The 23,350-nt window shown below is 50.2% G+C and overlaps 1 protein-coding gene and 1 long non-coding RNA gene across 29 annotated transcripts in view, besides 1 other annotated feature; one reads left to right on the top strand and one right to left on the bottom strand.

Moving 5' to 3' along the window:
- Positions 1-10,653, bottom strand: part of PKNOX2 (PBX/knotted 1 homeobox 2) — a 268,639-nt gene extending 257,986 nt beyond the window's left edge. For all 28 annotated transcript variants that reach the window (NR_168082.1, NR_168078.1, NR_168083.1 and 25 more), the window contains exon 1: positions 10,628-10,653. The gene's annotated coding sequence lies outside the window, so the exon portion shown is untranslated. The remainder of the gene's footprint in view (positions 1-10,627) is intronic.
- Positions 10,791-10,940: a silencer, noted in NCBI's record as "silent region_4039". NCBI's record gives its function as "represses an Ori minimal core promoter by ATAC-STARR-seq in GM12878 lymphoblastoid cells {active_cell/tissue: GM12878}" and the evidence as "EXISTENCE:reporter gene assay evidence [ECO:0000049][PMID:35858748]".
- On the top strand, positions 10,795-16,943 carry PKNOX2-DT (PKNOX2 divergent transcript). The gene is made up of 3 exons (NR_125759.1): positions 10,795-11,063; positions 14,756-14,858; positions 16,730-16,943. It is a non-coding gene; the product is annotated as a PKNOX2 divergent transcript (long non-coding RNA).
- The last annotated feature ends 6,407 nt before the right edge of the window (positions 16,944-23,350 follow it).

The raw sequence follows: 23,350 nt of genomic DNA, 5'->3' as shown, positions 1-23,350 counted from the left end.
AGAGCCCAGTTCCACCACGGCCAGGTCAGGGCCACCAGAACCAGGACTCTGTGCAGCAGAAATGCTGGGAAGTTCCCATTACCCCTGCCAGCAGCCAATGGTGCTCCGTGGAGGACTGCCTGGGATTGAAGCTCTCCCTCCTTCCTTCCTTCTTTCCTTCCTTCCTTCCTTCCTTCCTTCCTTCCTTCCTTCCTTCTCCTCAAACCCAGTGGAAATGACTTTGAAAAGTATTCCAGGAGACCAGACGTCCAGCTTGGAAAGAGGCTCCCCCTACAATCTAGAAGTCAGCAGGAGTTAGCAGTCCCCCATCTTGCTGCCATTAAGAGGCTCTCATGAATGGAGGTGACTTCTCAAGGGGTGCTATGCCAGTGCCGGAGACTAAGTCAGGTTCCTTGGAAACAGGCTTCAGGGAAGGCTGGAGGAATCCTTTCGAGCTCCTTGGCTTTCCTCCAGAATCTGTCTCACAAGTCAAGAGGGCCCCAGGGGACCGCTGCCCTACTATGAAACCAGTTGTCTCCTCCCAGAGCCGGTGGGTGGGGGGCAGAGTGGGAGAGGGGCCGGGAGAGGAGCTCCTTCCACCACCGCTATTTGGGCCACAGGGGAGCAGCGGTCTTGAGTTCCCACTCTGCCAGGCTCTCCTGCCTGATTTCTGTCCCCCTGACCCTCCTGGAAGCTGGGGGACTCTGCAGGGTCCCTCTCAACAAGCACTCTCCCGGCCCCTGCAGACAAATAAATGAGGCCAGCTACCTCTGCAATATATCTTCCCACCCACTCACCTGCCTACAGGTAGACAGCCTTCCCACTGCTGGGCTAGGTGTTCTCTGGTGTCCTATCACCTTCTACAAACTCATGGTGCCTGATGGACCTCGCATGTACAGCCCAGACAGTCGTAGGAGAATAGACTTGAAAGGGGCTTGAAGAGAGCCAAGGATAACCTGCTCATTGTATAAAATGAGGATTCTGAAATCCAGAGAAGTTAAGAGATGAGTCAAGGTCATATAGCTTGTTCTCAATTTCACATGCGTTTTGTTTGGTCTCCTCATCAAAAATATGTAGCTCCTAGAGGATGAGGCCACTGAGTGTTCCCCACAGCATGCTAATGGGCACTAATTAAATAGTGGGTTCAGGCCACACCTGTTGACAGGTGGATTCTTAGGGAGGAAATGAGAATGAGAACAAGCACCTGTCGCCCCTGGGCCCGGGGCATACACTTGACTCTCTGGGCGTCTGTCTCCCTGCCCTGGACCTGGAGATAGAACTGACAATCTCCACAGAGGAAGGTCTCCTGGGAGGAAGGCAGGACAGCTCCTCAGAAGGAGGGGTCACATCACATTTAGACCTAGCACAGGACTTGGTACAGAGGAGCATCCATTCCTTAACAATGCACTGTGGACTGAGGACCGTGAGGGGAAGCTCTGGGGTAGGGCTCACTTGCCACTACTCCAGCACAGACCCATTGTGCTACGCTGGAACCCAGAGAGCCTGTGCCCTCCCCTTACCTAATAGGAATTAGACAGATGCTACCACTAACGGGCTAAACTCCCCTTGGTGTTTGTCGGCTTGACATCTGTCTGGATTGTGAGCTGATGACCACGGGCACGAGCCCCCGAGGGAATTCTTTCCACCCAGGGGTCCAGCTTACACCTGGGCTGGCAGACCAAGGCCACACTGCAGCCTCGCTGCCCCCACTCATAGCCATGAGATATCCCCTGCTCCTAAATCTACCTCTGCCTCTTAGTGCGGGCCCTCCCAGCCCCACCTGAGACTGAAGACTTTGTGGAAGTAAAAAACAGATCTTCTAGACTTTGGTTTTCACAACAGTAGCTCTTCCCAGCATTTGCCAAAGATTCGAGTAATGGAGGAGATGAGTTTAGCTGGTTCTTTTATGAAAGATCTTGGGAGAGGACTAGGTAGAGCTCAGGAATGGCTTGTGTTGTCTCCAGAAGGCTAAAGGAAGAACCATCATCATAGAAGATAAGCCTGGGCTACCCTAAATAATGTGCTCCATTGCTACACACAGACACACCTGCACCCACTTCCTGGACCTGCCACTTTAGCCACTCTCTGAGCCCCAGTTTCTCTTACCTATAAAATGATACAATGCCCATTTTACCTGCTTCACAAGGCTAAGAGGATCACACAAGGGCATGTGAGAATGAGCTTTATTAGGACAGAAGACTAATATTTATTCAACATGAGCTTGCCATGTGCCAACCACTTACAGATGTTTTCTTCCAGAGTTTTCACAGCAGTCTTAAATATGCTTGGTAGTATTATTATCCTCACCTATAAAGCCAAGAAAACGGAGGCTCAGAGGGGTTAAGTGATGTGCACACTGCTTAGCTGTAGTAGAACCAGGGTCAGAACCCAGAATCTGACTCCAAAGCCTGTGTTCCTTCCCCTAGCCCCACGCTGTCTCAACAAGAAAAGTAAATGCTGCTTTTTATGAAGAAGCCAGTGAGTTTTCAGACTGAAATTGCTGCCTCATGGAGCCATCCCCTATCGCTAGGAACATCCATTTGTCCCAGGCAGGCCATCAGAAGGGTCAGAACCAACCCCTAGGCCCCCACTGTCCTTAAGACTCTATACCACAGGGGCCAAGCCCCTGCAGTCTGTTGAATGTCATCATGATTCTTTGCTCGGATTTGTGGCGGTGGCGGTGGTTTTAATGATTGCCTAGCCACAAAGCCACGAAGCAATCCAATTGGGAGGAAATATGGAATCATGGAACTTTGAGTAGAAGGGGACCTCTGAGAGCAAGTTCAAGCTCCTCATTGGATAAGTGAGGACACTGACATCCAGAGAAGGTAAGTCCCTTGTTGAAGGTCACACAGTCAGTCAGTGGCTGAGTCCACAGTGGAATCCACCATGCTCAGACTACCAGTCCCCCCTTTCTCTCCACCATCCCGATCACCCTGATATCAATCAGCTTCATGGTTCCTGAGATGGAAGAGGGCTGGATGTGGGCCTATAGTCTCTGCTCTCTCTGCTTAGGGAAAAAGGGGATCTTAGGTAAGAAAGCCATGTTGCAACCAGGAGTGAAGTGATTTGTTTGCCTCATGCACCAACTCATTGGTCTAAGTTCTACCCATTGAGAAGCCAACGTGGAAAGGTCTGCTCGGAAATCCCTCAGTGTGTAAGGGAAACTGGACCCAAACAACAAGGCCTTACCTGGTGCTCCTGGGGCAGGGACAGCCCACTTCTGGCCACCTGGGATAGGTAGAGGGGGCTAAGCTCCTCCTTCTAGTCCAGGCTGCTCCCTTGCAGTCCCCAGGACAGCGCAGAGCACCATGACCTAGGAGGCTCATGTTTCATGCCCCCACTGGCCAGCCGCTCAGCCAGTCCTCCTCTAACACTCTGCAGAGGCTCCCTTCCTCCCAGAAGTCTGCCCTGTGACTCCACTCTGTCCTGGTCACTCCACATCCTGCCCCACTGTTGTCTCCTGTGGTTAACACCTGGTTGGTGGCTTTTTCCACGTCACCTCTCTGTCCATCATCTCTCAGGTCTGTGTATTGTATGTGCCCTCTCTACTGTTAACCCCAGACACCCCTCATCCCCAAAGTGTCCTCAGGGTCTGTGTACCTGTTTTCTACTGCAGCCTCTGCCAGGGCTGTGCACAGCAGGCAGCACCAGGCCACAGCATTGACTGGCTATTTGTGCAACGCTGGTTGAAGACGCCAGTGACCTGGAAAAGGGCCCAAGCCAGGTTCTGGGGAAGCAAAAGGAAAGGGAAAGGGGTAATCCTCCAACTGGATCATCAGCTCCAACATAACATGACAGAGGAGAGTCAACCATGACTGAGCCTCTCCTCTGTGCCAGACACCGTGCTAGGGACTTAACAGATGCCCCTCAACAGTCCTGTGAGCTATGTGCTTTTACTTCCCAATTTACAAATGGGGTAACTGGATCGAAGATGTTAAGCAACTTGTCTAGATCCATATGACAGGTAAAGAGCAGGGCTAGGCTCTAAATGAAGTTTTGCCTGATGCTAAATAAAGCCCATACTCAACACCGCCCCCACCACAAGCAAGCTCCTTGAGGACAGGCTTCATGGCAATGTCTTGGCTTTGTTTTTGCTGCTGTCTCCTCAATGCCTAGGACTGTGCCGGGGACACAGAAGATGCTCTATAAATATTTGCTGAATGGAAGAACAAAGGGAATGGGTGAATGCCATGCTGCCCCTCCCCAGCAAGGCAGGACACCTGCCCATGATGCCCGATTACTGGGTTCTATTTCCAAGAATCCTCAACAACTATTTGTTCCCTCTCTACTAGATTTGGGATGGCGATGTGAGTAGAGATGTAAATTGAACACAAAAGACTACGTCCTAATGAGGTGGAGGATTTACAAGCCTCAGTGCCCTGTGACCTGCTGCTTCTGTGGCCGCTTTCTGGCCCATCTGGATCTGGCTCCTCCTCCACCCCAGCCTCCCCCCTCCCCCACTGGGCACCCCCACTGCCTTGACTGAGCCGTACTCAAATTGGCCACGTTCCTACTAAGCAGAAAACTAACAGTTACCCCACCCACCCCGGCCCTATCCGAACTCTCCAGAGTCTGCTCTGGGCCCCAGGGCCAGCTGCTTTTCTCCACATTCCAGCCAAAAATAATACAAGAACGAAGCTGTTTGGTGGAGACTTAATCTAATCTTCATTGCTTCAGTTTTAAAATATCCTGCCTGGTTTAGGGTTTCTTATTACACACAGGGATGTGTTTTTAGTGAGATAGGTCTTAGCAGAAACGTCCTTCTTGTAATTAGAAACCCAGGCAGGCCGGGCCTGCAGTGAGGCATCCAAGCCAAACAGCAGATCCCCTTGAAGACAACGCATTTGCAGCAAGCTCTTCTCAAGCTCTGCTTGACCGCGTGAGATGAACTGAGCTGTCCCGGGCTTGCTTCTCCCTCTCTCCTGGGGGTTCTGGACGGGAGGAAAACCTGGAGTTCAGGTAGAAAGACTGTGCCCTCCAACTGTTGCTCTCTCAACCCCCAGCCCTGTCTCCCACCCCCAATCAAAATGGAGACTAAGATGTTGCCTGTGATTGGCTGAGAAGGAAATGAGGAGGAAAAATTACCCCAAGGAATCCCCAAAGACTAGGGAGTATTAAAGACAAGCATTCCACCAGAGCCGCGTCTCCAGGATCAGAGCTAGCTTTTACAAATCAGACACCGGAACAGAAGGAGTCTACGAGCGCACACACAGTTTTGTGTAAGTGCCGGGTGTAACTTCTTGGGCTTTCTGGCCCAGAATCTGCTTTGATCTGCCAGCAGAGACTGCTAAGAGAGGTTCAGGCCGTGGCTAGCTGCAGACCAGCACCCAACCCCCTCAGCCGACCAGATGTCACACACACACCAGTCAGGGCTCAGGCCTTGCCTTCCCAGTGGAATAAAGAGAAGGGGCTGCATTTCTGATAAGTCAGATTCTGCATTCGTCTGATACAGGACAGCTATTCCAGGTAACACCATTTGGAAGAAGCGGGCTGGATCCCCCAACTCAGCCAAAATTGCCCCTCTTGGTAAAGTGTAGATGGTTTTTGGAGTCACAGCAGGCCTTTCAAATTCTAGGATGTAATGCAAGGCAGGAATTCAGCCCCTTTACTATAGCCTAAGAACTCCTGAGAGTTGTGGGGAAGGCCCTGGAGCCAGGCGAGGAAAGAAAACACACCGAAGAATGTGACTTTGCTGCTGAGAAGCCTCTATCTCCCATTTTTTTTACTCAGAGCGCAGCCTGTGCTTGATCCAAGCCCATCATCTCACCCTAGTGAGAACTGTGTGTGATACATTCCACTTTACAGATGAAGAAACCAAGGCCCAGAAGCTAGATGACCCACTGGAGTCATGCAGCCCTGGCAATAACAGAGTCAAAAGAGACCAGGCCACTAAATTTCAGCCTAAACACTAGCTCAGCATGCTGACCTGCCAACCTTGATTATCTGCCCACCACTTCCCTCCCTCCTTCCTCCCTTTCCCACCAGGTATTAGATTTAATTAAATTAGCAGATCCCCATCGCAACAATCCTGGCCATGCTGCCTGGATAGAACCCAGCCCGTGGAGCTCCTCCCTCTAAATTCTGCTTCTCAGTATAATTCAGTCTTCAATAAGTCACGGATCTCACGTGAAGTGTTTTATACAAAGCATGGTGTGTTGGCTAGACTCAGGCTAACGGTGGTTCATGATGATTTCATTTTCCATTAGAACTTCCTCAGTTTTTCCTCTGCAGCATCGTTTTCACCCTCTCCATGCTCGGATCTGCGTTTTGTTTGATCCAGACACTTGGCTTCACATGCCGTCACCTCCAGCAATTGCATCACACGTTTATATATATCTTACAGCATCGCAGTCCTTGTGCCACACAGCGTAGGAAAAAGGAAAACTCATAACAGCCTTTCTCACCCTCCTCGAACTAATTTAGAAAATGTGCTCCAGATTAAATAAATCGGGAACAAAAGCCTGAGATTAGAGATAGAATTTCAGAAAGTAGGGAGGGGGAAGCTAAATAAATAGCAAGGAAATCTTGCAACATGTTGGAAGCCTATAAATTTTATTGGTTGTTTCTTTAATAAAAACAAATTCAATTGCTAACAACGCAGTATTATTAAGCCTCTAACATTTAAACATCTAATTTTCCCCTGCTCTGCTGCTGTTTACGTTGCACGTTGGATTCACGGAAGGTAAAGAAGTCAGGTCAATTGGTTTGGTTTGATTCCTAAACCAAGCTAATAGAGACCCCTTTAAAATCCAGCCGTTTTGCTTTCTAGGCATGCCTTGGTCTCTAATGAGTTACAGCCCAGGTTGAAGATGGACATGGCAGAAAGAAATTTAACACACACTCTGGTGCACCCATAAACTTCAAGGCCAAGGGAGAGGAGGTATGTTTCCAGTTAAGCTAGAACTCCATGAATTCAGGATTCTCCACTCACAAGACAGTAATTCTACTTATTTCATCACTAACTTACTTCAAATGTGTTTATACAATTTATTGCTACTGAACTTCCAGGCAACTGGTGTAGAGTTAATGAAACCCAGCTTGGAGAAGCTTTGAGCTTTGAACAACTAACCACAGTTTAAATGGTTATGACATGCGGTCAAAGCCACAGCCTGAGCCCACTGCAGTTTCTGTGTTAGGACCTAGTCAAAAACCTTGTCATCTCACCTTTTGTGCCAAACAGATTGAAAAAGCAAAAAGCACTGAAAAACAGCCTGCCTTGTTCCTTCTCAAGGTTCCCAGGCATTTAAACACATTTATCTTACTAAACGCGAGGCAAAGCCCCTCCCCCAGTCCCAAGTAAATATTTTAGTTGCAGTTTGAATTGGCAGCTGGGCTGAAATCCTGAAATCCAGTTTGGGTTTAACTGAACAGGGGTCAGGCCTACCTAAAGCAATGCTGGGAGAGGCTGCTGGGGAGGCACCAAGCAACATTTAAAGGCAGACTCAGTGAAAGCCCAAAGGCAACACGAGAATGAACAGATGAAACCGGACTGGAAAAGAAGCAAACTCGTCTTTCAGAATCACTTGGACATTAACTTTTATTAATTCTCATTGTCACATGGCACCCTCCCCCAAGCTCTGCCATGTGGGATCCAGCAAGCTCCCTCTTTTTAAACAGGCCCATTTTGGAAGAGTAAAGGGGAGGTACTGGATTTGCCACTGCCACACAATAAAAGCCCCTTTTGAAAGCAGCACTTTCATTAACTTAAAGCAATCTATAGACTTAAAAGCAGAGAGCAGTAAACTCCCAGAGAGGATCATAAAACAGCCAGTCTCAAGTTGGGTATACTTCAGTGCAATTCGCACGAGGCATTTTACTGTGAGCGGTGGTCGGGCCCATCTCCCTCCGGTAACCCCCTGCCCCTTATTCTGAGCAGCCTCTCTTTCTCTTGGCTTTCAAGCCTTTCCCGCTCACAAAGGGGAGGCGGTGACCAGGGAGTCTCCGTGGGGTCACGGCTCCCTCCCCCCTCGGGCTCTCAGCGGGAGAGAGCTCTCACGAATTCCAAGCCTACAAAACAACAGCCTTGGAGCTCCGCGGCGGCAGTCGCCGCGCCCCGGGCCGCCGAGGCCACTCGTGGGTCGTGGGTCGTGCGTCTTCCGTGTCCTGTAAGGGCTGTCTGGCTCTCCCTGCCAGGGGTGCAGGGGGCTGGGATGGTGGGTTTAATATTAAGAGGAGGAAATCTCAAATCTTCCTCCCCTCAATGCCCTCCTCCCCCCCGCTCCCACCCCCCACACACACTCTTTCTCTAGATGCCCAGAGAATAACCTACCTCCCTGGTCGGGACCCCTTCCCACCCCACACCCCACAGCTAGGCCCAAGCTATGGGGATGCAGCCCGAGTGGGAGATTATGAGACCAGAAACGGGACCCTCCCTCCCCGCTTCCACCAAGGTCCTGGGGCCTCCGAAGGCCAGAACGGCAGAGAGAGCAGGAGGGCAAGGGCAGGGGCTTTGGGTAATACACCGTGTTATGTTTGAACACCATCATTCTCAGATTTGGGGCGGGGAGGATCGTCTAAACTGCCTAAAATGCGAAGCTTTTGGCTGCCACCGGTTATAGAGCATTTGAAACCCGAAAAGCTAATATCCTGAAGTCTCCGGACAGGAGAGATGACAGTAGGGCACTCCAAGCTTCCTCCTCCCCCGGGCGCACCAAAGGCCGGGTTTGTGGGCTTCTCAGTCCGGCGCGGGTAAGCACAGGAAGCGGCTCCAATCAGGGCACTGGAGTTTGAGCCGGTCCTACCCTGGGCCACAGCCCAGACTCCTCGGCCCACTGTGGCACCTCGCTGCTAGCGCTGCCCCCCGGCCTTCATCGCAGGCCGCGGCCCCTGCGGGCCACCGCTCCCGCCCCGCCGCGCTGCGCCCGCAGACCCAGGTGGCTCCTGGAGCACTCCGAGCCGCCTGGGTCGGGACCTCAGATCCACTCCCAGCCCCGCGAGGCTGCCCTGCCGCTTCGCCCAGAAGGTCTCTTCGATCTGTCCGCTTCCCGGAATCGCTCTCTTAGGACCGGGTCCTGTGTGGCCCAAGTCCTCTCCTCCTAAAGAAACACTTTCAGGGGGAAGCAGCAAAAATTCGGGGCTCGCCTGCCATGGCTCAGATCAACTACTTTCATCGCCTACCTAAACGCTTTTTCACACGCGGAGCTGCAGGACCCCTCGTGCTACCCTCCCCAAATTCCAATAGCTTCCACCACAAGAAAAAGCTGTGATCCTGTTACTGAATCCTAAAAACGCCACCCGTTCCTCCAGCCCCCAACTCCGACCTCCAGCCCTCTGCTCTGGCCGGCGTGTAAACTACTTATCGGCCCCTCGATCCCGATTCCGTAAACAGTCTGGATCCTATAAACCGAACTCTAGACTGGTCCTAAAACCCAGCCCTAATTCAGGCCGATCCACAAGCCCCTACCCCTCAATTCCCAACCCGAGTCTCCCCACCGCGCGGAAACCCCCGGCTCCCCCGTGAAGAGCCCCGGGAAAGGACGGCCCATTTCGCTCGTTTCTTCCTGGGGATCGGGAGCCAGGAAAGCCCGTCTCCTAACCCGAAAGAAATGCAAACTTTGAGCGGCAGATTCGGGATCCTGCGCCATCCCCCTCAGCTCTCCGCTCTCGATCGCTTTCAGTTCCCTCTTTTACGAACTCATCCCCTAGTTCTCGAGCCAGAAGGGCTCCCGATTCCCAAGCCTCGCGCGGGCCCCTACGCCCGCCTCACCAAAGATCCCCAGCAATCATGGAAAGCCGGTGACCCTACACATTCTCGCTCCTCCCTGGGTGAGGGTCCGTGCGTGTAGCCCCTCGGATCCTGGCTTCCCGGGCCCCGCCGGTGTTCCCCTGTCTCCACTGATCCGTCTGCAAACCCTCATTCGCCCTGCCTCCCCAGGCCGCGGCCGCGGCTCCTCGACTCCTCCGGTCACCTGGCCCCAGCCTGGGACCGCTCCCGCCTCCAGCCGCTGGAAAGCATCTCCAGGCTGGTGGCGCGGAGTAAGCGCCGGCCCCAAGGACGCCCGAAGCCGGGAGAAAGAGAACCTGGAGCCTGCCCGCGGTTCCCAGCCTCTCCCCGCGGAGCGCCCGGCCGGGAGCCTTCTGCACCCGGGCTCGGGCCGGCGTGCCTGTTCCTATTCTCGGGTCCCCTGGCGCTCCTGGCGCACAGCTCCCCGCCCGCCCGCTACGGGGTTGGGCCCGCGGCGATTCGAGTCCGCAGCCCGGCTCCTTGCACCCGAGGACAATGCGCGGCCGGCCACGGGCCCAAGCGCGGCGAGGCGGCGGCGGCGGCGGCGGCGGGGCTGAGCGCTGGCCGGGCAGGGGAGCGGGCGGCCCGCGGGGCTCTCGCAGCCTCCGTGCCCGGCCTCGCCGCCCCTCGCGCTGCTCCGCTCCGCGCTCTCCCGGCGCTTCCCCAGCTTCTCTCTGCACGCTCCCGCCGTCCCTCGCTGCTCCCTGCCTCCCTCCTCCCTGCTGCCTCCCTCTCTCTCCTCCCTGCTGCCTCCCTCTCTCCCTCTCTCCTCCTTGCCCTGTCGCAATGAATAATACTCTGGCTTGGGGACTGGAATAAAACACACGCGCTCTGAGGCAGCCGCCCGCAGCAGCAGCCGCCGCCGCGCCGCCGCCGCCGCCTGCAAAAGCGTCTCTGACATGGAAATGAATGACAGCTTACCTGATGCCAATCTTCATCAGACTGACACCGGCGTGACAACACAGCCTATACTTCCCAGCACTGCTCGGGACGTCAGCGGCACAGGGACCCGCCCCCCGGACCCCCCCTTCACACACCTCCCCTCTCCCCACTCCCCCTTTTCTCCCCACCCCCCATCACCCCCACCCACTCCCGGCCCGGCCGCTGCCAAGTCGGAGGAGCCGCTGGAGTGTCTCCCTCTACCGGAGGCTCTCGGGCGGCGGGCGCGGGCCTGCTCCTGCGGCAGGGAGGCGGGCGGCCTGGAGAAGCGGCTCCGCTCGCGAGGAGCCTCGGATGGGGAGTGCGGTGGACCCCCAGGAACTCTGGAGCACCCTCCCGCCCCCAAGCCAAGTCCTCCTTAGCGAACAACCGGGGCCGAGTTCCAAGATATCACCGGTGCTGAGGGGACCGAGATGAGGTGAGATTTTCTGTGGACCCCAAGAGAACTCCCCAGAAATGATGAAACTTAAAACGGGCAAGAAATCCTTCCTTCCACCAGCACTCCCCCTCCCCCTTTTCCTGCCTGGCTGGCCTCATTTTTATGATTGCATTTGAATAATTCTCATTACCCTGGCCCCAGAAAAGGTGTTCAGATGACACTCTGGTTAGTTATTCCTGGTCTCAAGAGCTTTTTCTGCTGTGGGCTTCCCGGGGTGTCTGGTTCAAGGTGGGGCAGAGGGAGAGAGGAAAGAGTGGATAGGCTTTGTCAGTAAAGCACTTCTTTGCAAATGTCAGGCAAGCCTGTTCTAAGCCACTGCTATTTTCATTCTAATAAAAAGTCCTCAAGAAACTCAGTGAGTTCCCAGAGTTCTGGGGGCTGGGGTGCAGTCATATAAAGGGAAAGACCAGCTGGGCTGTTTCAGCCTGGGCCTGCTGGGGTGGCTTCATCTACATCAGGGAGGAAATGGGCTCCTTACATGCCCTCTACAGTGGAAGACAAAAGCAGGCATGTGTAGACCCACAAGCGCCTCCATTCACTCAGCAGAGATCACAGTCCTACTAAGAGCCACACACAGGAGCACACTTGCTTGCTTCCTCAACTTAGCACATGGCCCTCCGCATAAAGGGACAAGAGAACCCCTTCTGCCTCTGGAAGTTTGCTTCTTGCTCCCCATAGAGGAGCCCTTTCAGCCAGTCAGGCAGCCATTGATCCTCTGACCCCAGGCCAGGCAGGGGGCCTGGAAGAAGCCCAGACAAAGACACCGACAAAAGCGGGAAAGCAGAAAGTGAAACCCAGCCTCTGGGTTTTCAGTAAAGAATCTGACCCAAGAAGTTGAAGGCTGCCCCTGAGCTCTTCTCAGGCCTCTGGGTCGCCACTCACCCGCCTCCGTCATGGGCAAGGATGAGAGCTGTTAGCATTGCCTGGCTCAGGGGAGGCAATTGAGACCCTTCTTATATCACATCCCAGATACACACACTACTGTTTGTCCAGATCCTCCCAATACCCTCAAATCCACCCACCAACGTTGCTTGTGGGAGAAACTCTTCAGTGGTAGCCCCCATTATAGACAGATTAGAATCCTCTCACCTTCACATAGAACCTTCAAAAACTTCACTAGGTGGATTTATGTCACCCTAGCCTCTGATCTGCAGTCAGAGTCTCTGGCTGCTGACAGCATAATCGCTATTATATATTATACATTGTATAATAATATAATAATAATGAATGCACTTGCCCTTTTTATGTGGTACAGAAGCGGCCAGATTCTCCAACCCAGAGGCTGGAGGTCAGGCTGCCATAAACTCTCAGAGGGAAGCCCTCTTCAGATAAGGGAGGGGGAGGGGAGATCCATTTGTCTCTGCCCAGGACCCCTGGAGGGAGGAGTTTCTCTCTTTCCCATGGCTCCCAGTGAGTTGCTGCAGCCTGCAGAGTCAGAGGGGAAAATCAGGCTGAATTCACCCCATCAGAGAGGTGTCAGTGAGCCATAAATAGGACCGCAGGCAACAGCCTTGGATCACTGATTTACACCTGTCACACCCCTCGTTTTCTGAAATCTAGATCAATGCCCAACACTTTCCTGATATGGGAGATCCATTGCCATGAGCTATTAATTTTTGGAGTCTTCAAATACTATGATTTTCACTAATACCTTTTTGGTGCTTTAAACTGCACATCGTAGTTTTAAGTAAATATATCTTGCTTTGACTATTTTTGTCATTTGCAAGAGCTTAAAAAATGATTATCCAAAATATAACCATCGTTTTTATAATCACTGAAGGCAAATATTTTCCCTGCACCCACCAGAAGCTCTGCTGTGTGCTAGCACTAAGAATAAAGAGCAGAAGCAAAGAGGCTCAGGTTATGGCTCCTGTCCTCAAGAAGCATTCATTTGTTGAAGAAGACAAAGCGCCAATATGTAAAACATTAAGTAGCAATAATACAGGAATCAACAGAAGACACAAGCTAGTAAATACTTAATGAAGAAATGAGTTGTCAATATGTCAAATTCCATGAGTTCCACATCTCAGTTTTGGCTCTGTCAATGAGTAGAGAAAGGATAGAGTAGAAATTAAGAATTCACTACAGATACTCTACAATTTCTTCCCCATCATCCCTCTGAGGATGAAGAAGAGAATGGAGAGGAATGTACATGTTGTATTGCATAAGCCATCAACACACTGACATTATAACCAAATAGAAGTTTCTACAAATCCTAGTTATCACTCCTAAATTTTGGAGTTTCTGTTTGGTTCTGGGCCCTCTTCTCACTCTACCTGCACTTTGTCTGTGGTATAAGCAGCCCACACCAGCCCAGGCTGCCTCCTCCAATCTTCCAATGTGGGTGATCAATGGCCCAACTGAATTCTGCCAATGTCACAATATGAATAAAAATTTAAGACCTGTCTGTATTAGTTTGCTCAAGCTGCCACAACAAAATGCCACACACTGGATGGATTCAACATGAGACATTGATTTTCTTACAGTTGTGGAGGCTGGAAGTTCAAGATCAACGTGCCAGCAGAGTTGGTTTCTGGAGAGGCTTCTCCTCCTGGCTTGTAGATGGCACCTTCTCACTGTGCCCTCGCGTGGCCTCTCCTCTGTGTACACAGGCAGAGAGACAGCTCTGGTGGTCTCTCCCTCGTCTTATAAGGACAGTCCTGTTGGATTGCGGCCTAACCTTATGACCTCGCTTAACCCCCCTAAAGGCCCTGTCTTCATATACGGTCACATTGGGGGTTAGGGTGTCAACATATTAATTGGGGTGGCGGACACAATTTAGTCCATAATACCACCCAACTACAGTTCCCTTCACTCTCAACTTAATTATTTTTAATGAATATTGATAGATTGCGAGTTCCCTGAGGATGGGGACAATATCTTATTTCATCTTAGGATCCCTAAAACCTGGTCCAGTGCCCAATCCAGAAAACATATTAAAGAAATGCTTGTTGGATTGAACTGAATGAAACATCATTGTTCCAGTCCTAGTTGACAGACTTATCACTAGTCACCTGGAATATTTTGATAATTTTTTAACTGGTCTCAATGCCTCCAGTATCTCCAATCCCTCCTATACACTTGCACAAGGATGTTCTTCCTATAACAAAGGTTGGATCACACCTTGGTTTCTCCTGAAAATCATCAGTAGCTTTCCATTGCTTATAAGATTTAGCCTAAAAAGTTACTGGGCCTTATAATAAAAAGAAGGACCTTGAATGCCACACTCCTTACTTAGCAAGGTCTTCATGTTAGTCCTCATCTGGCCCTGATCCCCTTTCAGGCTAATCTGCTCCATTCCTGCCAACGCCTCCCCAACTCCACCTTCTAGTGATTTCCAGTGCTTCCTGCTGCATCAGAACCCCCACCCCAACCCCCGGGGAACTTCTTTATAATTCAGGGTTCCAGGTTCCACCCCTAGAGAAATCAGTCTGGAGAAAGGCCTTGGAGCCCGTATTTTAAAAGTCACTGCAGTTGTGAGGTTTGGGCACTTCCATTCTACCCAGCACTCCTGCTCCAGCTCATGGGCCCCAGAGTACATTCTGGATTCTGGGCCCTTCCTGTACTTGCTCACACTCTTCCTTCAGCCCCGGGTTTTCATTCCCCCTTTTCCTACCTTCTGAATCCTATCTGCTTATAAGCTTTCATGGAAACATCACCTCTCTTCAAAGGATCCTTGGATCCCCCAAAAGAGAACACCAGCTCTGGGATCGCCAGGCCCTGGCTCAGCTCTCCACCCTGTAATGAAATGGCCAGCTATCTGGGACATTACTGGTGAGTGCCAAGTCTCAGTTTCTGTGTTTGTGAAATGAGGATGATAATAGAATCCAACTCATGACACCATGGGGATTAAATAAAATCACAAATCTAACGAGCTTAGCACAGTCCCTGGCACATGGGAGGCTCTTCAATAAATGAATGGCAGCATTAGGTTTAATAGCCCTTTACACAGGGCTGCCCAGTGCTTTGCATTTGCCTTTGCCTTTATTATAGTGCTTATTTAATTGGCCTGAGGAAGGGAGATATTGTTTACAGAGAAAGCTGCCACAGGCCCTGAGGGCTGCAACACGGATAATGGGAGCAAGGAAATGAGGGCAGGGGGACGCTTCTCTCTACCTAAGGCCTCCTTCCTGACCCTGGATCCAGGTGGGGCTGTGGTGGGGGGAGCCAGGGCCAAGTGAGGAAGACTCCGTTCCTGATGAAATAACGCAGGAAGGGCACATCCTTTGGAGAAAGGGGTGGGCAGACAAGGGGAGACCTGAGAGGTATAAAAACTCAGATGCTAGAAATCCTCCAAAAGGGAGTGCGGGTCCAGGATTTTGCTCTGAGCTGAAAGCTGGGATGTCCAGGCCCCTTGCCCATGTCTGATTTTTTTTTTTTTTGACCCTGGGAAAGCCTCTCAGCTCCCTCATCCCACTCCCACCCTCTGAAGCAGGGGGATGAAGCCTGTCCTCTGGGCACACGATAGGCAATTAATTGGGTCATGCCTTTAACCAGCTCCTCTAATATAGGAGCAATATAATCCCCAAAGCTTTTTAAAAACCCATCTTCTTTATGGTACTGATGCACTTTAGGGAAGTTTCTTCAAGCACTGTCTCCTCCCCATCCCTTACTTATCCCAAGCATCTCCCCACCCCACCCCAAGTCCACACACACACACACACACACACACACACACACACACACACACAGAAGACACACAGATACCAGCTCTCAGGTGGGAGCTGTCCTGGCCTTAGCTCCAGATAAGAGGATCTGTGGGTGGCAGGAAAGGAAAAAGAAGATTTCTGAGTAATTTCAAAGTTCTTTCTAGGTTCTAGCAAGGGGTGGGAAGGATCACAGCCAGCTTGAAAGAACTGAGAAAGAGAGAGATTGGAAGAGAGAATATTTAGACTATATTTAGGAAGAGAAGAGAGAATGTTATGACGATTTCCAAAAAGAGCCATTTCTGGGAAATGCCATCCCAAAAGTTTGGCCAAAAAAATTTGAGAAAGAAGGATTTAAACCTGTGCTGTCCACTACAGCAGCCACTAGCCACATGCAGGCCCTGAGCGCTTGAAAGGTGGCTAGTCCTAACTGTGATGGGCTGTGTGTGTAATAAATTTAGAAGATTTCATCTATAAAAAAGAATGTGAAACATTTCATTAATAATTATTTTATATGTATTACATATTAAAATAGTAATATTGTGGATACATGGAGTTAAATAAAAATATAATAGGTCATTAAAAATATCTTCACCTGTTTCTTTTTACTTTTTCAGTGTGGCCACTAGCAAATTTAAAATTACTATGCGACTTGCATTCCATTTATTGAAGCCTCCCTTCCAGGCTTCATTTTTGTTCTGGTAGAAGCTATGTTTGGATGCTGAAACCTTTATTATTTATTATGTATCACTCCAGCTCTCCAGCTCTTCCATCTCTTCTGCTTCTGCCGACCCCACAGAGGACCAGCATGAAAGGAGATCATTAGGCTATTCAGGGCCTCCCTCAGACTGCAGAGGTGGCTAAGAACTCCCTGCCCACAACCCCTGCCCAGGGTTACATGGGGTTTTGAAAGCATTATTCTCCCCAAACAAAAACCACCTCTCCCATTTGGACTGAAGGATCCATCCCTGAGCCCCTTGTCTCCTATCTCCTTTTCAGTAGCCTCCTCGCCATCAGAACTGTCACTCCCGCTGCCATCATCCTCTCCTTCAGCACCATCTCCATTCTCATCACTCGCATCACCACCACCTCACACAGAACCATCTGCATCCTTCTGCTCACCCAGTGGACCCTCTTCTCCCTGTACCCAGGGAGGAACCCTATCAGCATTTGCTGCCTTTGATGCTGCATCCAAACTCTAAGCCCTCCTGAGCTAAGGATTTTGCATGGCTGGGCTCCCAACTGTATTCTGGCAGCTGGGCCCCATGGCAGCCAGACTGCAGGGCTCAGAGAAACAACCAACAACCCTGGGAAGGGGTGAAGGCCACATGCCCTGCAGAAGATGGTCCCGTCTTATTGCATTAGAAAGGGACAGTGAAGAAGAGTGACCAAATGAGGGAGCAAGAAACCCCCAGCTTACCTCGCATAGGGACCACGGTTTACTTAGCAAGGAAGAACAAAACGGAACAACAGCAATAATAATAGCTAATATGTATTGCTTATTGGCTGGGTGCCAGACTCCATGCTGAGTGCCGAACATGCATTGTTCATCAGATCTCCACAGCACCCCTATGTGGCTTAGGTAAGTGAAGGAACTTGTCGCCAGGTGTGAACTCAGACAGGCTGCCATCAGAACCCACACTCCAAACCACCATTCTGAATTGCTCCTTCATAAAGCATAAACGTTCACTCCCTTGCCCCCCTCATCCATTCATTTATTCACTGATTCACTCATTCAGCATGCATACACTGATAGCCTCTAAGAAACTTACCAGCTCATTGGTTCCCATTCAGCATCTAGGCTGTCCAGGCACATAGAAGGCACTCGGCTATGAAGACGAATAAATCAGAATCCCTGAACTCCCAGAAATCTTTAAGGTTTTCAGGGGCCATGAGAGATGTGGAAAAGCCTAATTCTGCCTTCAGATCACACCCATATTTTACAGCAGAGAAACTGAGGCCTAGTAGGAGGGACATGGAAAGGGTGTTCAAATCTCTCCCGATTTAACAGTCAAGTAAGAGTCCACTTGGATTCTCAACACAAATCAGGGTTTGTCTTCCAGCCTCACCCGTCTCCGGAGATTTTGCATATATGTTGTGTCACTGCTTGGCTGCGTGGTCCTTTTGACAGACTCAGTAAGTCTCTTTCTGCCTTTATTCCCATTGGCTACTTTCACAATACCCAGTAGTAATGTCCACACCCAAATCAAAACTCATCCACTCCAGAAACTACTTCATTCAGGACACCTATGTCTTGTATCCCCAGAGCTTATGTGTTCACATTCCCATCATAGTAGTATACATTTGTATGATCCTTTGTATGTGTTCTTAAATTTCGAGTACGTATACATTAGTTCAAGCAGCTTTTGAACTTCATGAAGGCAAGGATTTAGTGTTTCTTTTATATCCTACCTTCTCCTTCCCAATCTCTCAGTCTCTCAGCATCTGGTAACAATCTCAGCCTATTCAAATTACTAATAAATGCAAATTTCTTGACCTTCTATGCAGACATAATCTGTGTGTGCATGAGTGTGTGTGTGTCTGCCTGGGTAGTAACTTGAACCAGTACGGATAGCAGGGGTGTTTGTGTATACAAAGTGTCAGTGTAAGCATATGTACGTGTGTGTGTGTGTGTGTGTGTGTGTGTGGATAAATTCTCCAGCTATTAGAGTTAGGGAAGCTTAGACACACATCAGCACAATCCATCAATTTCCAGACATTATCTCTCATGATAATTTCCTGCCAAATCTTTGAGTTGCAATTAAGAAAGTAGATAATTTGAAACATTTTCCTCTGCATGTTGAGATGGATTATAATCCTAATTTGATAAAGACTCTTAATGACTCATTAGCCACCCTTGGCTTCTCCTCAGGTCAGCCAACTTCCCAGGCGCTGGAGGCAGCTGGCAGCAGAAAGGCAGTGACGCTCAGGTCATTACATGTTATTGCTTCAGCAGCACTAAAAGAAAAAGACACAACAAAGACACAACCGCACCACAGCCCTGGAATTCTCTTTTCTTCAGCTCCTGGATTTGGGCATCAATTTTTTTTTTCTTGGCTTTGAACAAAGCCTCTAATTTCCCGACAACCAAAATGCTGTCTCCAGGGTATGTGCACCCTGCCAGAGTGGCAGACAATGCATCGCAGCCTTCCCTCTGCACAGGTGGGGGTACAGGGACTCGCTGTTCTCACAGCTCTGGGCCCCATCCCCACCACAATTTTTTTTCCTGGGAGGGGCTCCCCAACCCAAAGGGTGGGGACTCCTAGAAAGAATGGCAATTTCAAGTTGTTTACAATCTCCACATATCAACCTCCTCTCTGCCTTGTGTGAGCAAGGTCAGAAAGCACAGAAGACCATGTACAGGGTCCCAGTTCCTTTCCTCCTGGCTGCGTGGCATCTCTTCAGCCCCAGGCTTAGAGCATTGAATTATTCACAGAAGCCAAAGTCATGGCTTCCCTTGGGTCACCCACTCAAGAATGTAAACCCCCTGACTCTCAGAAAGGTCTTACTTATTGCTTGGACTCCTGTGGACCTGTGTGCAGCTGCAAACACACGCATGGCATGCACTCATCACATACGGACAGGTAGGACAGAGACACACAGTCACACTGACACGTGTTCACACAGAAACAGTCACAAGTTCACATGGAAACACTGACACATGGTCACACAGTCACACAATCACACAGACACACAGTCACAATGACACATGGTCATGCAGAAACAGACACATAGTCACACAAACAGTCACACAGAAACAGTCACAGTCACGAGGTCACTTGGAGACACTGACACATGGTCACACAGTCATACAATCACATAGAAATACAGTCACACTGACTGTTCACACTGACACACAGACACAGTCACACACACAATCACACAGAAACATAGCCACAAGTTCACATGGAAACACTGACATGATCACACAGTCACAAAATCACATAGACCTACAGTCACACGGACACATGGTCACATAGAAACACAGATACATAGTCTCACAAACACCCTGTCACACAGAAACATTACACAGTGACAAGGTGACATGGAGACGTTGATACATGGTCACATAGATACACAGCCACATTGGCATGCAGTCACACAATCATACTAACACAGTCACACAGAAACACAGACACAGTCACACTGACACAGTCACACAGAAACAGTCACAAGTTCATATGGAAACACTGATACATGATCACATGGTCACACAATCACATAGACACACAGTCACACTGACACATGGTCACATAGAAACAGACACATAGTCACACAAACACACAGCCATACAGAAGCACTACACAATCACGAGGTCACGTGGAGACGCTGATACATGGTCACACGGTCACACAGACACACAGTCACACTGACACACATTCACACAGAACACAGACACAGTCACACAGTCACAAGGTTACACGAAAACACTGACACGTCATCACACACACAGTCATAAGGTCACACAGAAACACTAACATACAGTCACATAGTAACAAAGTCACACAGACACACAGTCACAAAGTCACATGGAAACACTGACACATTATCATACAACCACACAGTCACAGAGTCACACAGGTACACAGTCACAGGGACACACAAGCACACAGTCACACAGTGTGTAAGGACTTCTCTGAATGGCTTTGATCCCGAGGCCAGGTGAGAGATTAAGGGGGAAAGGGGATGTAGTCAGTGAGTGAACACCTATCTGTGTGGCATGCCTGCTGACACTGGGGACTGTGCTGCACAGGGAGGGTGGGGAAGCTGGTCTTGACCCATGCAGTTGCTGCATTCTGAGCTGGAGCAGGCGTGAGGGCAGCATCCTTAGTCAGGATCAGCCTTTGAGCTCTAATTCTCTTCCTGCACCAACCCCCACCCCCAGGTGTATTCTCACCCCTGTCCCAGGCTCACTCCATCCTGGCTGTCACAGGGCAGGCTTAGGGTGAAATAAAAAGCCTCCACTGTCCCCACCACACCCCCGCCCCGTGCATTCCATCAATGTGACAAATGCTCTCTGGGCAGGACCCCTGAGGCTGTCTTCTCTGCCACCAACCCCTCCTTGCTTCCCAATGAGTCCAGAGAGACATGAGCAGAGGGGTGATGGATAGCCCTGTCTTATTGTTCCAGACTCCGAATCCAACAGGGGCCTGGGAGAGCTGTATAAATCATAGCCTGGGCTGGGCTTTCACCAGCGCAGCTCGACAAGAGGAATGGAGGGCAAGGGACCATAAAACTGTCTATGGGCTAAGTTGTTTCATTTCAAGCCAGGGCCAGGGAGAAAAAATGTTTGGTTCTTGGGAGACAGACTCATTTGAATAGGATAGATAAGCTGGTGGAGGTCTGCATGTCTGGGTGCTCAGAGAGACCGAGAAAGGCTGGTCTCACAAGAGGACAGTGGATGAATCGAGTCACCCCTCATCTCTGGTACCTCATTCCCACAATACAAGAGGTGTGGGGCAGTGCTCATGTCCCAGACTGTGAGAATGTTTGGAAAAATTTGCCTCTAGTGAGGAGTGAAGATTCTCATCTCAGCTGGCTGATAAATTATACTTTTCCCTTCTCTGAAGTAGGAACAGCTGGGCAGGCTCTGGCCATCAGACTGTGATCAGGTAAAACAGGAGCCATTCCCATTTCATTTTCTCAGACATTTAGTGAGCAGCTACTATGTGCCAGAGGCTGCGCCAGGTGCTAGGGGCACAGGGCTGAAAAGAACAGAATCATGTGGCCCTGCTCTTGAGGCTCTCATGGTCTAGTGCAGCAGACTCATAAATCCATGCTTGTAATTCAGGATTGCTTATTTCACGTTTCTTTATCACCTTTAGCATCTATGACAAATGCTTGTATTTATTGGCTTGTTTACTTTTCTCCCCTCATCAGACTGGGAACTCCTTAAAGGGAGAAAAGAAAGGGAACCAACATTCGAGTGCCAATTATGTGCTGTCACTGGGCGCTTTGCAGTCACTTCACCGCCAAAGCAGTTCATAGGTTCCACTATTCTTATTCCACAGATGAGAAGATTGAGGCTCAGAGAGATTAATTCATTTGCTTGTGGCCAAAGCTAGCATGTAGTGGAGCTGGGACTCAACCTGAACGGGTGTGGCCCCAAAGTTCTGGCTTGTTCTCCACATACTGCTCAAGGGGTACCTTCAGCACCTGAAGCAGGGCCTACCTCAGGGAGCAGTTGATTATACAAAGTAAGGAAGGAGTACAGAAGAGCGTGGGGTTAATGCTGAGAGGGAAGGGGGTTAGGGAAGACTGCACAGGAAGGGATTATGGAAGTTTCGAGGAATAAATGGAATTTGCCAAAATGACAAGGAACAAAACGTCCAGTCTACAGCCATCCCACTCTGAACGCACCCGATCTCGTCTGGAATGTCCGTCTAGGTGGAAATGGCATGGAGGCATGAAACAGTGTTGTGTGTTCTGATCACCTACTCAAAAGCTCCCTGCTTCCTCCATGACTTCCCCTAATCCTCCCATTCCTGTCTTAGGAAATAGGAGCTCAAGAATCGGATAAGAACCACATGGGGCCAGGAGCAGTGGTTTATGCCTATAATCCCAGGACTTTAGGATTGCTTGAGGCCAGGAGTTCAAGAGCAGCCTGGGCAACTTAGCAAGGCCCCATCTCTACCAAAAAAAATTTTTTTTTAATTAACGAAACATGTTGGTGTGCACCTGTAGTCCCAGCTACTTGAGAGGCTGAGACAGGAGGAACACTTGAGCTTGTGAGGCTGAGGCTGCAGTGAACTATGATCACACTACTGTACTCCAGCCTGGGAGATAAGACAACACCCTGTCTCAAAAATAAATAAATAAATAAAAATAAAAAACACCTGGACACACAGATGGCAGAGTGACCCCAATGGGGCCACTGTACAATGGAGTAGAGTGTTTTTGTTTTATTGTTATTGTTATCTTTTCTGAAACTAGATTATAACTTCCATGAAGGTAAGATCCAGTCTGCTTTGCTCACAAGTATGATTTCAACACCAAGAGCAGTGTCTGATTAATTTTGGAATCAGTGAACAGAACTGGACCAGGAAAAGGGGCATTCTCTACCTCTCTGCCCTCTCAGGAGGCTGGTGTAACTGGGGCAAACTGGAAGCGCCTCCTGTTTGGGGTCATGGAAACCAAAAGCCAGACAAGCACCAGGTGGGGCCCGAAGGAGGTGAGGCCCCGAGTCCTTGAGCAGTTGGTGCCATCCAGCTTTGCCTTCTCTGTCTTCTCTGCCTCCTCCTGTCTAATTCAGGAGCCAACAACAGGACATGTGCTCAGAGAAAGGGGCCAGGGAGCAGACCTTGGGCCTGCCCCAGGCTTCAGCTCATACAAAAGGTGCAAGGGTCCATATGGGGCAGGAGCCTGAGGAACACCAATACCGAAGGGACAACTCAAAGAAGAGGAGCCTGCCAGGGGGACTGAGGAGTGCCCAGAGTGCTGTGACACGCAGAATGGCGCTGGTCACCCCCCACCTTCTTCTCCGGCATTGTGGCTATCATCCCAGAGAAGCCTGTGAATTACCAGCTCAGCCTCTGGAAACAGCAAAGGTAATAACCAAGGGCAACAGGAATGGGAGAGGAAAGAATAAACATAAAAACAGTGGACGAGAGAGTTCCACCA

This window comes from Homo sapiens, chromosome 11, assembly GCF_000001405.40.
Source record: "Homo sapiens chromosome 11, GRCh38.p14 Primary Assembly".
In the NCBI taxonomy this organism is placed as follows: domain Eukaryota; kingdom Metazoa; phylum Chordata; class Mammalia; order Primates; family Hominidae; genus Homo; species Homo sapiens.
This window is presented reverse-complemented; position numbering and strand designations above follow the sequence as displayed.